The following is a 15,657-nucleotide window of genomic DNA, read 5'->3' as shown; positions in this document are numbered from 1 at the left end:
TGACAAAAACACACTTCCAGGCAAGATAACCCAGCAGACACACTGGACCCCCAGAGGGTCCTATACCACAGCGGTAGGATGCAGCACTGAGAGCATGGTTTTGAAAAATGGGGAAACCTGGATCCTCTCCCAACAACCTTGCTGAGTGAGCTGGGGCAAGTCACAGCCTCACTGAGCCTTAATTCTAGTCCATTCCTCCTTGTTCTTCATGCTCAGAACCTGAAGCAATGAAAGACCAGAGAAGGGGTTCACTGGGGAATTTTGCCCAGCAGCAAAGGGGTCAGGAGCAAGCCAACAGCTCTAAGTGCAGAGTCTAGGGTGCTGGGGCTGAGCCCTGGGAAGCCCCCAGGAGAGTAGCGCAGCCCCCATCACCTCACTGCAGAATGGTGGAGTGGACAGCCTAAGCTTACACCCTGATCCAGTCAACTCCCATCGGTGTGACCCTGGGCAGGTTGTTCAGCATCTTGGTATTCTGTCTCCTCCTCTCATTACTAGGAGTATCATAGAGGTGCAAAGCACTTTGAATGGTGTCTGGCATAGAGTAAGGGCGATTCAAAGGTCAGCTCTCATGTTTACACCACTGTCAGCCTTAGTTGGTCCCCGCCCCTGGATCTCATACGGTAGCCTCTTGGATACTCATGTTCACTCTGGCATGGCCTCTGACCCGATCACAGCCTCTGGACTGGGCCTCCCTTCATGTACAGCACCAGCAGTGGGGAGATCCCTGCACTGATCCCTGCACTGATTCACCAGGATCTTCCTGAACCTAAATAATGGCCTCAACCTGCCCCTTGGACCCTGGGTCCTCCGCTGCACACTTGCTGGTCTGCACCTGTCTGATAGCACCTGATGGTCTCCTGGCTTTTAGGCTCCTCGTTGCCACTTCTCTCCAGGTGTAGAGAGGATTGCAATCCTACTGGCCTGGCTGGTGGCCCCGCCCACCTCACCAGCACTCTTGGCAAGCAGGCACCCAGGAGGACAAGAGCCACCAGCCTAGAACCATCTGCTGTGCCTACTCAAGGGGCTCCTATGAGAAGTGGATGAGGTGGCCCACACCAAGCATTCTGGAAACTACTCAGCCTTCTATCATGGGAGCGCTGAAGGAGAAGATGATGAAGACCCAAGGGAAAAAATCAAGGAGTCCCATAGGGGAGCTCAGCTGCTGTGGCTTAGGCTTTGCAGTCTGGAGGTCCAGCACAGGTTCCAGCTCTGGCCAGCCTCTCAGAGGGCATGATGAGTCTCCAAAACGGTGACCATGGAATGCTTCCAGCAGGGTCCATGCCTTCCTGGTAATGCTTATTGTGTACAAACGCACACACACACACACACACACACACACACACCCACGAACAGAAACAGGCAGGCACACAATTCACATGTCACCATACACAGACCCAGGGGAGTAGTCACTGCATTTAACAGTCAATCAGAATGGACACAGTCTACAGTCTTAGAGGCTTCCTATTGTGCCAGACAGGAAACCTTTAGTTGCTGGGTCCTGATGAGTCCTGAGGCAAAGACTTGGTAGCCCAGGGTGCTTGGGGACCCTGGGGAAGAGCTATGTACTAAAGACATGGGAATGTACCAATAGTCCAGCAGCCAAGACAGCCGTACTTCTTGAACATGAGCCTCTCTACCCCCACATGGAACATCACCAGGCTTGGAGGCAGAGAGTAAAGCCTGCAAAAAGCAGACTCCAGACAAACAGACCTGGGTTTGAATCCAGGCACCACTGCTCTTTTCATGTCGGACCCTGGAACCTCAGTGTCCTCCCCTGTAAAATGGGTGTGACACCTAACATCACCTGCCTCATGGGATGGTTGGGAGCATTGGGCGAGGTCACTGGTACGTGAGCTCAGCACAGTGCCCTGTGCACAGGAAACATTCAGTCAGTGTCAGCTGTGAGCATTAGCTAGTGTGGGCTGGTCCCGGCCAGCTCCTGAAGGGCCACTGGAGCTATGTGTGCAGCAAGATCACTTGCTGTTATTTTCTCTTTCCCTCCACTCTCTCTTCTGTCCCCTTTCCCTGACTTGTCACCTATTCCCTTCCTTTGCCTCCTTCCCATGTCTAGACTTAGGCCTATAAATAGGCCTCACTTTCCCGGCTGAGTCCCCTGAGAACAATCAGAATAAAGGGGCTGCCAATCTGCGGTCTCAAGTTTTAGATCCCCCTCCTCTTCTTCCTCTTCATCCACCTCAAAAGGAACAGGTGAGTCTCAAGTCACAGGAGTCAGACTAGTTTTTGCCTCCCCTCCCCAAATACTTTGCAAAGCAAGCCATACACCAATAGCTTCACTGAATTAGAAAGACACAGTACAATTAGGTCAATTTTTAAAAATTGTGATAATGGTATTGTGGTTATGCCTAACAACAACAAAGAGTCCTTATCTCTTAGCGATACATACTATTTACAGAGAAAATTATGCCGGGGAATGCCTTTAAAATTAATCCAGCAGGAGGAGGGAAAAGAAGAGAGAGGGAGTAATAGATGAAACAAGATTGGCCATATGTTAATCATTGCTAAAGCCAGGTAATGGTTACATAGGGTCATCACACACTAGTCATTCTATTTGTCTGTATTTGCTTTCTGCTTTATTTTATACAAATATTACACGCACATACTCAAAGTAGCTTCTAGAAGCCCCACAGGGCCCTGAGATCCCTGTACCAAAAATCACCCCATGATGGTCCCTTCTCAGCACCTGGGAGGTCACTCCTGCCCTCCCCAACCTGAAGCCAGGCTAGCAGACAGGAACTACCAGGGGCTGAGTGTGAATCCCTGCTCTGCCTCTCAAGAGCTGCCTTCTACACCTTGTATTCCTCATCTGTCAAGGTCAGACTGTGAGCATTCTATAAGTTGTACAAAACACTTAGCACAAGCTGGGTGCATAGTGGGCCCTCGAGAAATGCTCACAGCATAATTATTATAATGTAATTATCAATGTTTAGATCTTAGTTACGATGCACCCATATGTGCCTCTGCACAACTTTTCCTCACAGGCATCCAGAACAATGAAGAAAGCATCTTCCCCATTCATTCCCACACTGCAGCCTTTGTGGTGTTTAAGGAAACACTCATGTCCCCCCCAGCTGCAACCACCTCCTTGTCTCCATTCTGAACTCACGGTGGGTTTCAGGGGATATGGCCTCCAGAACCAACCCCTCCAGGCCATTCTCCTCTACATACCACAGGAATCAATGAGGCTCTTAGAAAGCTGGCATTGGTGTGTCAAGAACATATGGGCCCGCCCCAGCTGTGAGCCCTGCTACGTGCCCTTGAAAGGTTGCCGCAGGATATCCATTCTTCTCTTGCCAGCCTCTACAATTAATATTTCCCTTGCATTTGCCGTGAGCCTACTATGGGCCACACAGGAAGCCAGTCATCCATATATGTGTTCATATTTAATCCTACCCATATGCCTGGGCAGTAGCCTGGATCATCCCCACTTTACATATGGGAAGAATGACCCTGAAAGGCTAAGGGCCTTGCCACAGAGGGAAGAAGCTGATGTAGGGACTTGGCTGGGTCCAGCTGCCTCCACTAATTCCTCCCCACCCCCAGCCTGGGCTTCCTTTCAGGAGATTGTTATCCAGCAAGGTCTCCCTGATCCCTGGCCAGGCGTTGTTCCCCAATCTGAATGCACTCAGGAATATTGCTGGTTTCGTCCCATCACTCCAGCCTGTGGAGGATCATCACAGTGAATCTTGAGCCTGTCATCCGTGGCATTAGCTGTCCCTGACAGCTCCATGTCAGCTGCATGTCTGATGAGCACATCTTCTGAGTCTTCCGCCAATTTACAAATAGAAATGTTGAACAGGAGAGAGTCTGGGGCAGAGCCTCAGGGACACTACCGGAGACTCTCCTCCCAGCCTGACAGTAATCCTGGATCAACATTTTGGGGGAATAAATCATCCCCATCACTGTCATCACATCTCCATTCCCTCCCAAGAGCCTTTATCAAACACTTCGCTGCCATCGAGATTCGCCATATAGTTAAAAGTCCCTGATTCAGGGTCTCCTTCCACCACGCCCCTCCACTTCAAGAAAACAAGATCTGCTTGTTCTTATTTATTCTAGAAAACTACGTGCCTGCAGAGCTAGGACATTCTCAGAACTCAGATCAAACCATTCCCCTGCTGAAAATCCTCCTGTGGATTCTCACTACACACAGGATAAAATCCAAACTCCTTTATGATGCCCTACACAAATTGGCCCCATCTCCTCCCTCTTCCAGTCATGTTGGGCTTTTATCTACCCCTTGAAATGCTAAGTTCATTCCAGCCCGAGGGCCTTTGCACTTCCTATGGAATGCTTCTCCCTGCAACCCCCCAGTGTCCCTTGACTGGCTCCTCCTCATCACTCAGGCCTCGGTTCCAGTGTCACAGTCTCAAAGTAGCCTTTCCTGCCTATTTTTAAAAGTGTCCCTCCCCCACCTTCCTCTGTCAATCTGTTTATTTTCTTCACAGCGTTTGTACCATCACCTAATTTAATAATATCCTTTTTGTGTCCTTACTCCACAAGGGCAGGGACTTTATCTTGTTCACCACAGAGGCCTCCAAACCTAGAACAGTGTTTGGCACATAACTCCAGCTCAGTCGGGATGTGTTGAATAAAGGACTGAACAAGTTCACTTGCCTTTACCCATGCCAAGACCTCTAAGAGCTGGTTGCAACCTGTCTGGCTTTGGTTCCATTTTCTGGCCTTTCATCTCACATCCCATCTCTGGCCTGGCATCCCTGTGAGCCGATCAGATGGCACTAACCATCCTGCTTGACCCAGTCCTAAGACCTCCCAAATTCTGCAAGGCGGTCCCATGGCAGACCCCACACAGAACCCGCATTGACCTTGAGTAATCACCTTGGGGCTCACAGAAAGATTTTGTGGGCACCCGACCACTTTGCTGGGTTCACGGTTAGGCCTGCTCACCCCCATTTCCTGTAATCTACCTTTTTCCCCCAAGTTTTGCCAGTCCTGGCATCTCTCCTGTGCTATTCGCTTTCTCTTTGGGGTTGGGAAAAACCACCTAATCTATCACAGACTCTATCACAGCGAATCATTCAGGGAGGTTAACCCAGCTCCTGGGCTCCTGACAAAAGAAGCAAGTCAGAATCAGTTCTGCGGCTCCAGCTCCACGCGGTGCCACCTCTGCTTTGCCCATCTCCAGAAATGATAGTTGTCCAATAGTAGCGCCATACTCGGATGCTGTGCATTATTTCTGCATTTGTGGTATACAGAGTCATACAAAAATAAAGGCTATTGACTGGTTGGCACCCCTTCTCAGAATAATGACTAAGCAAGCATGCTGTTAGCTCCCCAACAGCAGTTCTGTGTACATGATAACACAGAGCAAAGATGAAAACTGCTATTCATCTGAGCCAAACAACAGAAAAATGCAAGCAGAAAATTGTTAGTGCTGGAGGAGGATACCAAAACAAATATTTTCTTCCAGCTATGAAATTTTAGACCAATGACAAACACAGTACCCAAGGCAACCTGGCGGATTAGAGTGAAGTGGAGGGCTCTGGGGTCAGGCACAGACCTGGGCTTGAATTGTGGTCCATCTGCAGACTGACCTCATGGCTTTGGGTGAGTTTCTGCCATTATGTGTCTATGTGGGTAGAGCAGCACAGCATATTAGTTAAGAGGTCAGTCCCTGGAGGGAGGTGGAAACTAGATTCAAATCCCCACCGTTTAATGGGGGTGGGGGAGGTCAGGGAGAGGGCTGTCCTAAAGGAAGCTACCTAATATGTCAAAGCCTTAGGTCCTTTTCACAAAATAATAAGAAGGGCTCATTATTTATTTAGTGCTAATTAACAAGCCAGGCACTGTGCTAAGCACTTTACAAGCAAAACTCTCATTTTAATCCCCCCAACAGCCCCAGTGGGGTAGTGTGTTAGACTAATTATAGTAATGGCCCCCATTTTATCACAACCTCCTGTATCCATACTCTTTGGTAGTTCCCTCTCATCCTAATTTGTAAGACGTGGAGACTTGAAAAGTGTTTGGGAATTAGGGCTTAGTTTCCTATTTCTCTTGGGACTTGCAACCTCCATGTGAACAAGCCCAGGGTAACATGTCACACAGAGGAAAACTCCAAGTTGTGTCAGCCAATCCAGACCTAGCTAAGTGCAGATGCTTGGGTGAGCATGAGCCAAGTTCAGCCAAGCCCAGCCCACAGCGGAAGAACCTCCCAGCTGAACCCAACCCAAATTGCCAAACTGTAGAAATGAGAGCTAAATGAGTCACAGTTTTCAGCCACTAAGCTTTGGGGTGGTTTGTTATATATCAAAAGCTTCCTGTCACAGATAGGTACAGTCACCCCAATTTTCAAAATGAAGAAGCCAAGGGACAGAGAAGTTAAGTAATTTTCCTGTGGTCACAGACTTACTAAGGGACAAAGCCAGTGATCTGAGGCAATCTCGTTCCAATGCCTCTCTCTTAACCACTAGCTATGTTGCTCTAAAAAACCAACAGTGAAATGCTGTGTGTGAGAATACTAGTGATGGATACCTAAGTTAGGAGAGCAGAAGAGGCTTCTTTGCACCTTTGTCTTTTAAGCTGGGGCCTAAAGGAGAATAAGGACTTAGCCAGGTAACGAATGCAAGGAAGACCTTGTCAGACACAGGGAACAGCATGTGCAAAGACCATGAGGAGGGAAAGAGCTTGGTGCATCATTGGGAATAATGTTCAAGTGGATGGGGCACATGAATGGAGGTGGAGGGGAGAAGTTAGAGGTAAAGTAGGAGTCAGAATCTGCCAGGCCTTGGAGGTGATGCTAAGGCATTTTGTTCTAAAGGCACAGGGAAACCACTGGAGAGATTTAGGCAGGGAGCTATCAGGCTCTGGTTTCCATGGGTGAGGGTTATTTCTCCCAGGATAATCTAGAGGAGTGACAGGAGGGGACTGGGGCCTGAACCAGTATTTTTGAGGAGTTTGCTAGGTGCTGGGTTTTACAGGTGGCACTTGTCCCCACCACAACCATGAGGGATACAGAGCATCTTCCTTTCCAACTGAGAAAGAGGAAATTGAGGCTCAGGAAGGTTAAAAGATGTACTCAAATTGACCCTAGAGAATAAGTGTTGGGGTGGAATTGGGCCCCAGGCCCATGTGACTTCCAAATCTCCCCTCTTACCCCCTCCCTGTCCTCCACTTCCCCTAAGAGTGGAAGAAGGAGAAAGAGCAAGGGCTTTGCAGTCAGGAGACCTGGATTCAAAACCCAGCTCTGTCCTTTCTGACGGGTGACCTTCTACAATTCGCTTCCCTTCTCTGAGCCTCAGTTTCAGGCAGGGCCAGAGGCCAGGAGCCAGCCAAGAGCCAGGAGGATGAGGCAGCAGAAGACAGAACCCAGTGGACAGGCAGCTGTCCAGCATGGGGACTTGCAGGAGCTGTGGCAGTGAGTGGAAAGGGAGGTCACCAAAGGCCCCAGGCTAGGAGAGGCCCCTTATCATGTAAGCAGTGGCTCTGGCGTCCAACCTAGCATCTTCCCCAGTGGAGCCCACCCTGGCTCAGGCCAAGGCCGGTGGGCACTTCTGAGTCTACCTGTCTGCATAGGGATCAGAGACCCATGTTCTCTGACAGATACCTATTTCTCTGGTGCATGTCACAGCACCCAGTGTGGCCCCTGCCCAGTGTGGAAGCAAGGGAGGTGGCCACCTCTGCCAAGCTGCCTGTGTCTTCCTCCATCTTCCTTCTCCTCCAGATCCAAGATTCACTGAATTGCCCAGGTACCTTCTCCCCACATACACACCATAGCCACCCCCCGCCACACACACACACACTCGGGCACATATACACCCATGCACCATACACCACAGTCATGCACACACACTATGCACACATACACACATTCACACATGCACACACGTACCACAGCCATGCCCACATACCACAGCCATGCACACAAATATACCACAGCCATGTACAAACACCCATGTGCACACACATACATACACATGTACACACAGCCATGCACACACATCCATACACACACATCCTGCACACATGAACACACATCCATGCATACACATGCACACCTATGCACACACCCATGTACACATACACACCACACCCATGCACATACACACACAAACACACAAACCACCGTAGCCTTCCTGCTTGGAAAACCAGCAGGAAGGAAAGAAAACAGGGAAGGAAGGTGGATTCTACCTCTCTCACTATCTGGGGGGCCTAGGCTGACTTCCTTCAGCTTAGGGATAAGGGACAATTGAGAGAAATTGCAGATTCATTCAGTTGCGGTACCAGGGCTTGTGAACCCGTGTCCCAAAGGTACCTGGAAAACCCTTAAGCTCTGTCTCCTGGGACTTTCCTGATAGGAGTCAGGGGACTAAGCTTAGGGCTGGAGAAAGCTTTGGCCTCCCCACCCCCAGCCCTCCTCCACCCTCCGGGCCGCAGTGAGGATTAAGTGAGATGATGAATGTGAAAGCACTCGGTAAATTGTAACGAGCGCTATGCAAATGTTAGCAGCTCTGACTGAGACAGCCTGGTGTGGGAGAGCCAAGCCTGGCTGCAGGCTTTGGAGTCCTGCTGGCCCAGATTCACAGCCATGAGCCTGGTTTACTAAAGCTATACAATTAGGGGAATCACGGAGACCTCGGTCTCTTCATCTGCAAAGTGGGGATGGTGATACTCAGACTTAAAGAAGGCAACACCGTGAAATCTCTCAGCTCCCTGAATGCCAAGCCTGGACTTTATGTTCATCTAATTTCTTACCAAAGGTCTTCACACATAGTAGATTCAAATTTTTTTAATTGTCCCTGGCATACACTTAGAACTCAATAAAGGTCAATCTCCTTCCTTCCTTCCACACTTTTCTTTGAAACACCTCCTTCTCAAAGATGTACCAGACAGTTATCTTTTAAGCCTAAGGTTTTGTCATCTTTGACCCCCTTCCAAAGTATCAGAGAACCTTTCACACACATGCATGAGTCACCTGTAGTGCTGGTTTCAAATACAGATTCCTCAGCACCCTTGGAGAAATAGCAATTCAGCTGATCTAGAATGGGGCCCAGGTGTCTGCATTTTCAGCAGCTATTCTTTCTCCACTTGTGGCATCCCCGTTTTCCCCAGAATCTCGCATCCCATTTCTTCACCCTGGTTTTGATGCAATGGTGCACTTGCAGACACCCAGCCAGGTGAGAATGTCCCTCTAGATGCTTTGCAATAATTTCCTGCTCATTAGGGCAGGTGAGACAGCCTTAGATGGCATATTGTCAGGTGGAAGTGAGATACCCTGCTTCCCACAATGTCCTCCACCTGATTCTCCCTCCAGGGAACAGGTGAGTTGGGCAAGAACTAGAAGTGTTGGGTGGTGGGGGGCGGCGGGGGGGGGGGGGTGGGTGGATTCAGTGAGCTGGGGAATGAGACAGGAAATACCAGGGAATAAATACAGCAATAAAGAGTCTTCAGCTGGGAGCTACAGAGTGATGCTTATTGTTCAAATTGTCTTTAAAACTTTTCATTTGAATCTGTTTAATAAGGGAAGGCTTACCCTAAGGAAGAGGTGTTTTTTTTTTTTAATGTGACTTGGGAGCTGAATTGGAAATAACGTTGCAACAAAGATATTAAAAAGGGGATTAAACCAAACCACTGGTGGCCCATCTCTGCAGGCTCCCACAACCTGCGACACAGCTCCCGAAACCATAAAATTAAATTACAAAGGGGGACATGGGAAGTGGGACGTTAATCATGATTCATCTTTCTTCACCACTCATGGCTCCTGGTACTAAGCAGACGTGGAAGGGCTATTCGGAAGGGCCCATGGTTCCGGGTAGAACTCAAGCCTTGAAGCCACATCAAACTCTTATCCGTGCTCTGCTTCCTCTGAGCTGGATGACCTTGGGCAACTTGCTTAACCTCTCTGAGCCTCACCTTTCTCATCTATAAAATGGGAGTAATATTGACCTTTTACTGGGAAGGGTTGCTAAGATAGTGAAATAAAGCAGAAAATGAAAATATAGAGCCTGGCACCTATAAAGTACTCAAGAAAATGTTAGTTCTGTTTTCTGCAGCCTAAGACAGAAGGAGGAAAAAACCTGCAATGTCTTGAGCTATTGATATTCTGTGCTTCCTCTGATGACCGTGACCCCTTGCTTCGATCCTGGCTACCTCTGGGTGGTGGCAGTTTTATGGCTTATTCACCATTCACTTCCTTATTTATTCATACCCACTGCATAGCCACCAAGTGCCAGGAACTCAGCTGGGCACTGGGGAGACAAAGATGAGTAAGACACAGACCTTGCCCTTAAGAAGCCCATAGTGCAGTAGCGGAAGAGGAATTGTTGCCACAAGGCAGCACACGATATGTGCCAGGTGCCCACCACCTCATCAGAATCCCACACTGGAACTGGGCTGATAGCCCCGATTAAGGGGCTGTGTCCTTCCCTCTGGCCAATGGTCAAGAAGAGAGCTGATTTTAAACAGATTCTTCCATTCTATCGTCCTCAAAAGATCTATCCCATGTAGCTCTCAGAGCTGGGGAAGCATTTGTCTCTTATGATGACCCCTTCTGCTTTCTCTTAGAAGACAATATGAGTTATGAAAACCGAATGCTATGATCTCCCTTTATGCCCTGGCTGCCAAGAATCTCAAACCAGATGCTGTTATCAGTTGAGCAGTTTCCCTTCAGCCTAAGTTTCCTGGCATATATATCTCCTTGTCCCATATCAATCATGTCCTGTTATTTTATCCATGATAATGACAATGATGATGGTGGAATGGTGATGATGATGATGAACATCGAGTCCTTCTCTTATTCCCAGTGCTGTGTGAGCTCTACATATATCATTTCATTTGCTTCCATAGTAATCCCTTGAAATAGTCGCTGTGACTTTTCCCATTTTTTCAGATGAGGAAAATAGGGCACAGAAAGTTTGGGGAACTTGCTTACAGCTAGAAAGTGTGCTGGAACTCTAATCCACCTGTCTCCTTATTTTTTGTTATCTGGGCCACCTTAAAACACTTAGGAAAGAGGTGGGACATAGTTGTTTATTTCAATTAAAAAGAGGAATGTGGGAAAAAGAGAAAGAAAAATGTTGAATGATGTGAGCAACAAAGAATTCAGAGGACAACACACTTATTCTAGGTCCTTAAGGATGGATAAGATTTAGATAGACAGAGATATGGGAGAAGGGCATTCCTGGTAGTGGAATAACATGAGCAAAGGCAAGGTGACATGCACCTGCTGGTAGCTCTTGTTGGTTTATAGAGCATGTGCAGGAGACCAGCAAGACGTGCATCTAGAGATGGAGGCAGGGCCACTACAGAGACCCCTGAAAACCAGGCCCAAGGGGCCAGAGGACAAGGCGAGCCATGAGAGATGTCTGAGCAGTGCTGTTGACCTGCTTCAGAAGATGAAATTGGTGAAGGGTGGAGGGCATCCTGGAGGGAAAGGCACCCAATGCAGTGAGAAGAGATGTGGTGAGGGTGGCAGAGGAGAGACGAGCAGGGAGGCAAGGCACCAAAGGCCATCATGAAGGGGGACTGCCAGGACGTGTGGCAGGCTGGAGGAGGGAAGAGCCAGTGTCTGCCAGCACTAGCTCACTTGACAAACAAGAACAGGGGTGCATCAGTGTCAATGGGACTGGGGTGCTGAGACCCAGCATTGGGAAGCTCAAGAGAGGGAAAGGCTGGGTGCAAGGGCTCACGCCTATAATCCCAGCACTTTGAGAGGCCAAGCCAGGTGGATCACCTGAGATCAGGAGTCCGAGACCAGACTGACTAATATGGTGAAACCCTGTCTCTACTAAAAATACAAAAATTAGCCAGGCATGGAGGTGCATGCCTGTAATCTCAGCTACTTGGGAGGCTGAGGCAGGAGAATTGCTTGAACCCGGGAGGTGGAGGTTGCAGTGAGCCAAGATCGCGCCACTGCACTCCAGCCTGGGTGACAGAGCGAGACTCCATCTAAAAAATAAAAATAAATTTAAAAATAAAGTAAAATAAAGAGAGAGGGAGACACTTGCTTAAGGGTTGGGTCTCAGAGCAAAGGGTTCCAACTTGTGGCCCACGGGGTCTCTGAAATCATTCCCAAATACTGAGAGATGTGAGGATGTGTTTCAGACAAAAGCTGCACAGAAGCTTTTTCTCAGATTTTCAAAGAGGTATTGACCCCTCCAAGAGGAGAAAACACTAGTTGAGATTAGACTCCAAAGATCTTCAGAGCTGGCTTCTAGTCTGAGACATCAGCCTGAGTTTCCGTATCTGAGTCTTGTCTTTATCACTCCCATCACCAGGTTTCAAGCTTTTTAAAGAATAATGCTAAAAAAAAAACCAAAAAAAACAAAAGAGGCTATGTATTCCAAGCAACTTTTCCAGAGAAGTCGGGTTCACCTAATTGTTTAAATAACAGTAGCACAAAGAGATGTTTGTTGGGAGAGCCATTCAAGCAAGGAAGCCGAGTGGATTCCCAAATATCACTTGCTCACCAGTGTGGAGAACTGGCCAATGGAAGCCAACAGTGAAAGTTTACCAAAATAAGTGCAAAAAAGCCTTCTTCCTTCTTGCAACAAATAGCCTCAGAAAGCTGCCAATCAATAAACCACTTCTGTTTTTCAAAAAATGCTTAAACAGATTTCTTTTATTTCAGTAGATTTATCTCCCTACCTGAGTCTGGCTTGGAATAATGCTCACCAAAGCCTTTCCACTCTGCAGACCAAGTTTGTTATGACAGGTAAATGGGAAAGTCTTGGGTGCTGACAGAGGGCCTGGAAGCATCCAGGGAAGCCAACCACACCCAGCAAGCTCGAGCCACCTTCTCCCGGTCACTAACACATGCTACACTTCACTCCCATGTAACTTCTCATCTTTCCCTGCGCCTGCTGCTGGGCTCTTTCCATAGGCTGTTCTTTCTCTCTTCTCAAGACCTAGCTGGGGGACATAACTATGGAAACCTTTGCAGTTATTAATCATGACATCCCTGCTACCTGCGGACTACACCCGCATCTTTCATCACACAGTGCAGGGGTCTCATCTGTTGCTGCTTCAGATTGCTTCCCTCAGAGGAAGACTTCCCTAAGTACCAAGCCCAGTCCAGTAGTCAAGTACAATGTTCAGTCATGTGTCCCCTCAGTGCGCTTCCATGGCACTGGCACTTCATCACCAGAACACTTACTATAGTGTGTTGTGATCTGCCTTTTGCAAGATGTTGAAAGTTCATAAAGGAGGTCAGAGACTGTCCCCAGCTTTTCCACCATTGTATTTTTTTCAGACATTTCAGTAATAGGTGCATACTAATTTTTTTTTTTTTTTGAGACGGAGTTTTGCTCTTGTTACCCAGACTGGAGTGCAATGGCACAATCTCGGCTCACTGCAACCTCTGCCTCCTGGGTTCAATCAATTCTTCTGCCTCAGCCTCCTGAGTAGCTGGGATTATAGGCACCTGCCACCACGCTCAGCTGATTTTTGTATTTTTAGTAGAGACAGGGTTTTACCATGTTAGCCAGGCTGATCTCAAAACTCCTGACCTCAAGTGATCCACCCACCTCGGCCTCCCAAAGTGCTGGGATTATAGGCATAAGCCACCGCACCTGGCAATATTTGTTGAATGTCATTGTTGTCAGATGTATCTGTGTTCATGCCACCCACTAGACTGGGAGCTCTTTGAGGAAAGGCTTCTGTTCTGCTTATCTCTGTGTCCCTGGGACCCATCATACAGCCTGGTACTGCGAAGGCAATTGTGTTTGTTGAATGAATTCATGAATGAAGAAATGAACAAATGTCATTCTGTAGTTAGGGCAACGGAGTCAACAGCAAATCCAAAGACCTCATTCTGAGGCTTTGAAGTTTTAGAGATTAGGGGAATGAATGAATAAGTAATCCTTGAATAAGTGGCTTGCCACAATTCTCTAAGCCCAAACTTAAGACTAACTAAAAGATAACTGAACCAGATTTTGGAGTTAAATCAGCACTAGACAGAACTATTGATTTCTCCCCCAAAACCCATTGCTCCCCATTTCTTCCCCACCTTTGTAAATGGCACACCGTCCAACCAGGGGCTCAAGCTTGGAATACATAGCCTCTTTTATTATCATTATTATTTTGAAAGCTTGAAACTTGGTGATGGGAGTGATAAAGACAAGACTCAGACATGGAACTCAGGCTGATGTCTTAGACTAGAAACCAGCTCTGGAGATCTTTGGAGTCTAATGCTCTTGGCTAGTGTTTTCTCCTCTTGGAGGGGTCAACACCTCTTTGAAAATCTGAGGAAAGCTTCTCTACACCCTTTTGCCGGAAAGACATCCTCCCAGCTCTCAGCATTTGGGGAATTACTTCAGAGACCCCATGGGCCACAGGTTGGAATCCTTTGCTCTGAGGCCCTACACTCCCCACCTTGAGTTTGCCAGTGTTCGGTCTCAACACCCCAGTCACATTGATAGTGATGCATGCCCCCATCCTTGTTTGTCAAGTGAACTCGTGCGTGAAGCAGAGCATGAGCCTCAATGTGTCTGTTTGTGTACCCAAATCATGAGTAGGTCCATTGGCTCATCTTAAAACACACAGTTGAATCCTCCACTTTTTCCATCCCTACTGCAGTCACTCCTACCCAGCCACTGCCACCATTAGGCCTCCCCTGGACTCTGACAGTATCTTCCCAGAGGCCTCCCACTTCCTCTCCCACACACTTACAAACCATCTCCACACAGAAGCTGGACAGAGATTCAAACATTAGTGAATCTGTTCATGTCACACCCCTTCCTAAAAACCTGCAAAAGTGTTCCATAACATGTGGAATAAAATCTGAACTCCCCGCAGTGATCCTCCAGGCCTCCTGAGGCCTTGCCTGCCTGTCTCTGTTATACTTATACCATGGCCATGTCCCCATCCCTCCTGACTCTCCCGTCTCGCTGTCCCTCTCAAAGCTCACTCCCACCTCACAGTCTTTGCATTTGCTTTTCCTTTTGGTTTTGTTTTGAGACAGGGTCTCACTCTGTCGCCCAGGCTGGAGTGCAGTAGTGCAATCTTGGCTCATTGCAGCCTCGACTTTCCTGAGCTCAAGTGTTCCTTTCGCTTCACCCTCCCGAGTAGCTAGAACTACAGGTGTGTGCCACCATGCCCAGCTAATTTTTGTATTTTTTGTAGAGATGAGGTCTTGCCATGTTGCCCAGGCTGGTCTTGAACTCCTGGGCTCAAGCGTTCTGCCCACCTCAGCCTCCCAAAGTGTTGGGATTGCAGGCTTTAGCCACCATGCCTGGCCCTTGCTCTCCATTTTGCCCAAATGTTCTTTCCAGAACTTCCCTTGACTGGCTCCTTCTTAGAACCCAGGTCTCAGCCCAGATAATCACATCTCCTCAGAGAAGCCTTCCTTGACACCCAGACTAAAGGAGCTCTTCCTATCACTTCCCTCTGCTCTATTTCCATTATCACAGTTGTCACTGAAATTATCTTGTTTATTTTTGTGTGTTTCTTATGGGTCTCCTCCACTGGGAATACCATTCTTTTCACATTCTGAAGATATCATAGCTTTTGTATTTACTTGCTTCTTTTTTCTCCTATACTAGAATGTGAGCTCTAGGAAGGCAGGGATTAATGGAGTTCACAGCTCCATCCCCCTAGTTTCTCACACAGTTCTAGCATATAGTAGATGTTTAATAAATATCTGTTGAATGAATAATTGAATGAATGAATTAAGAGATTGAAAAT

General features: G+C 47.9%; 1 protein-coding gene across 2 annotated transcripts in view, besides 1 other annotated feature; it reads right to left on the bottom strand.

The window, feature by feature from the left end:
• The window catches only part of C1orf94 (chromosome 1 open reading frame 94), a 52,139-nt gene that overhangs the window by 22,009 nt on the left and 14,473 nt on the right, over positions 1-15,657 (bottom strand). The window lies entirely within an intron of this gene.
• Positions 8,189-8,742: an enhancer, noted in NCBI's record as "OCT4-NANOG hESC enhancer chr1:34653982-34654535 (GRCh37/hg19 assembly coordinates)". NCBI's record gives its function as "activates a minimal SCP1, AML or CMV promoter by ChIP-STARR-seq in naive H9 embryonic stem cells {active_cell/tissue: H9 hESC(naive)}" and the evidence as "EXISTENCE:reporter gene assay evidence [ECO:0000049][PMID:30033119]".

This window comes from Homo sapiens, chromosome 1 (assembly GCF_000001405.40).
Source record: "Homo sapiens chromosome 1, GRCh38.p14 Primary Assembly".
In the NCBI taxonomy this organism is placed as follows: domain Eukaryota; kingdom Metazoa; phylum Chordata; class Mammalia; order Primates; family Hominidae; genus Homo; species Homo sapiens.
The sequence above is the reverse complement of the archived record's forward strand: the minus strand, read 5'-3'. Positions and strand labels throughout refer to the sequence as shown.